General features: G+C 42.7%; 1 annotated feature.

Moving 5' to 3' along the window:
- Nucleotides 227-1,426: an enhancer, noted in NCBI's record as "BRD4-independent group 4 enhancer chr13:110556058-110557257 (GRCh37/hg19 assembly coordinates)". NCBI's record gives its function as "activates an origin of replication core promoter dependent on BRD2, P300/CBP, MED14 and CDK7 cofactors, and independent of BRD4, by STARR-seq in HCT116 cells {active_cell/tissue: HCT116}" and the evidence as "EXISTENCE:reporter gene assay evidence [ECO:0000049][PMID:35650434]".

Genomic DNA, 1,633 nt, shown 5'->3' on the forward strand with positions numbered 1-1,633 from the left:
TGTGGATGAGGGGGCTGTGGAGAGGGGGGTTTCTGAGCCATCACAGTGGCTAATTTTTCTGGAATGACGTAAACTTTCCAGAAGAAAGTTTCTAGCAGCCACCTTGCATGAAGAGCTATTCTTAACCCCCATGAACAGAGAGAGAACAAGAATGGAAGGGTGAAAAGCCATCGTGAGCAGAAGGGGAAAAGCCCTAAACTTTTTTCATTTGTGGTAAAGGTTGGACCTGGGGTTTCCTGTGGTGTAAAGATGGCGAGAAGGTGATGGAGGCCTCTTGGAGAACTGAGAAGAATTTCAATTATTGTTCTTGTTGAACAAGAGATTCTACTCGCAACCACTTGACAGAAAACGCCGTCTTCCGTTTCTATTCTAATTGATAACATGCCCTGTATCTTCTCGCCCTGGGATGAAAACACTTTCCACTGATTTTTACGTGAGAATTTGTGCAATTTTCTTTGAAACAAAAAGTAGTTTACTGTGTTTTTTTTTTTTCCAGTGTGAACACAGAATTGTTACATGGGCTTGAGGGCTTTGCTTTTGCATTGGTTTTCTCGTATTTTCAAGAAATTTCTCATTAACCTCACCAGGGACTGGCATGATTTATTAAGGGTCCTGTGGAGCATCAACTCTGAATTAGTAGTCTTGTTTCACTCAGGATGAATTTTTAAATAGATTATTTTTCCAAAATCAAAGCAAGAAAAAAATGAAAAGCAAGAAAAATCAAAGCAAGAAAAAAATTGGGGAAAATTGCAGAAGGCAGGCTGGCATAATGGTCTACACGAGATTGTCTCCCAACCAGATAGACCGAACCCTGTTAAAGAGGCTGCTGCAGCAGATGATGTAATTCCAAAATGGCCACAACACTTCCTACCCCACACGTCCTTCCACAATGTGACTCAACTGCGCCCCCATCAAGTCTAAGAGAATTCCTCTCCCTCTACTTAGGAGCTTACAACTGCTTTGTTCAATAATGTAAGGGGGAAGTAATGCTCTGTAGCTTCCAAAGCTGAGTCATGAAAGGGAATGCATCTTGCACCCATTCACTAGAACACTCACACCTGGAACCCCCAGCTGGCAGGTAAGAAGTTTGACTCCCTGAGGCAGCCATGTTGTGAGAAAGCCCAGCCATGAGGAGGATGTGCTCAGGTGCTCTGGTCAAAAGTCAACTCTTTGAATCATCCAGCTGAGGCTCCAGACCTTATGAGACAAGCCATTCCCACTGGGCCTTGTCTGAATTTGTGAGCACCATCAACTGTGTGATTGAGGCCATTAAGTTTTGCCGTAACCAGAACTGTTATGGGTTGAATTTTGTCCCCTCAAAATTTATTTGTTGTTTGAAAATGAGGACACTGCAGATATAACTCATTAAGACGAAGTTATAGTGAAGCAGGGTGGATCCCTAATCCCTTGTGACTAATGTTCTTATAAAAGGGAATATTTGGACAAAGACACAAACACAGAAAGAATGCCAAGTGAAGATGAAGGCAGAGATTGGGATGATGCTTTTATAAGCCAAAGGACACCAAAGATTGCCAGAAAATCACCAGAAGTCACCTTGGTGCTTGGAACAGATTCTCACTCACCACCTGATATGGTTTGGCTCTGTTCCCTACCCAAATCTCATGTGGAATTG

This window comes from Homo sapiens, chromosome 13, assembly GCF_000001405.40.
Source record: "Homo sapiens chromosome 13, GRCh38.p14 Primary Assembly".
NCBI classification, from domain to species: Eukaryota; Metazoa; Chordata; class Mammalia; order Primates; family Hominidae; genus Homo; species Homo sapiens.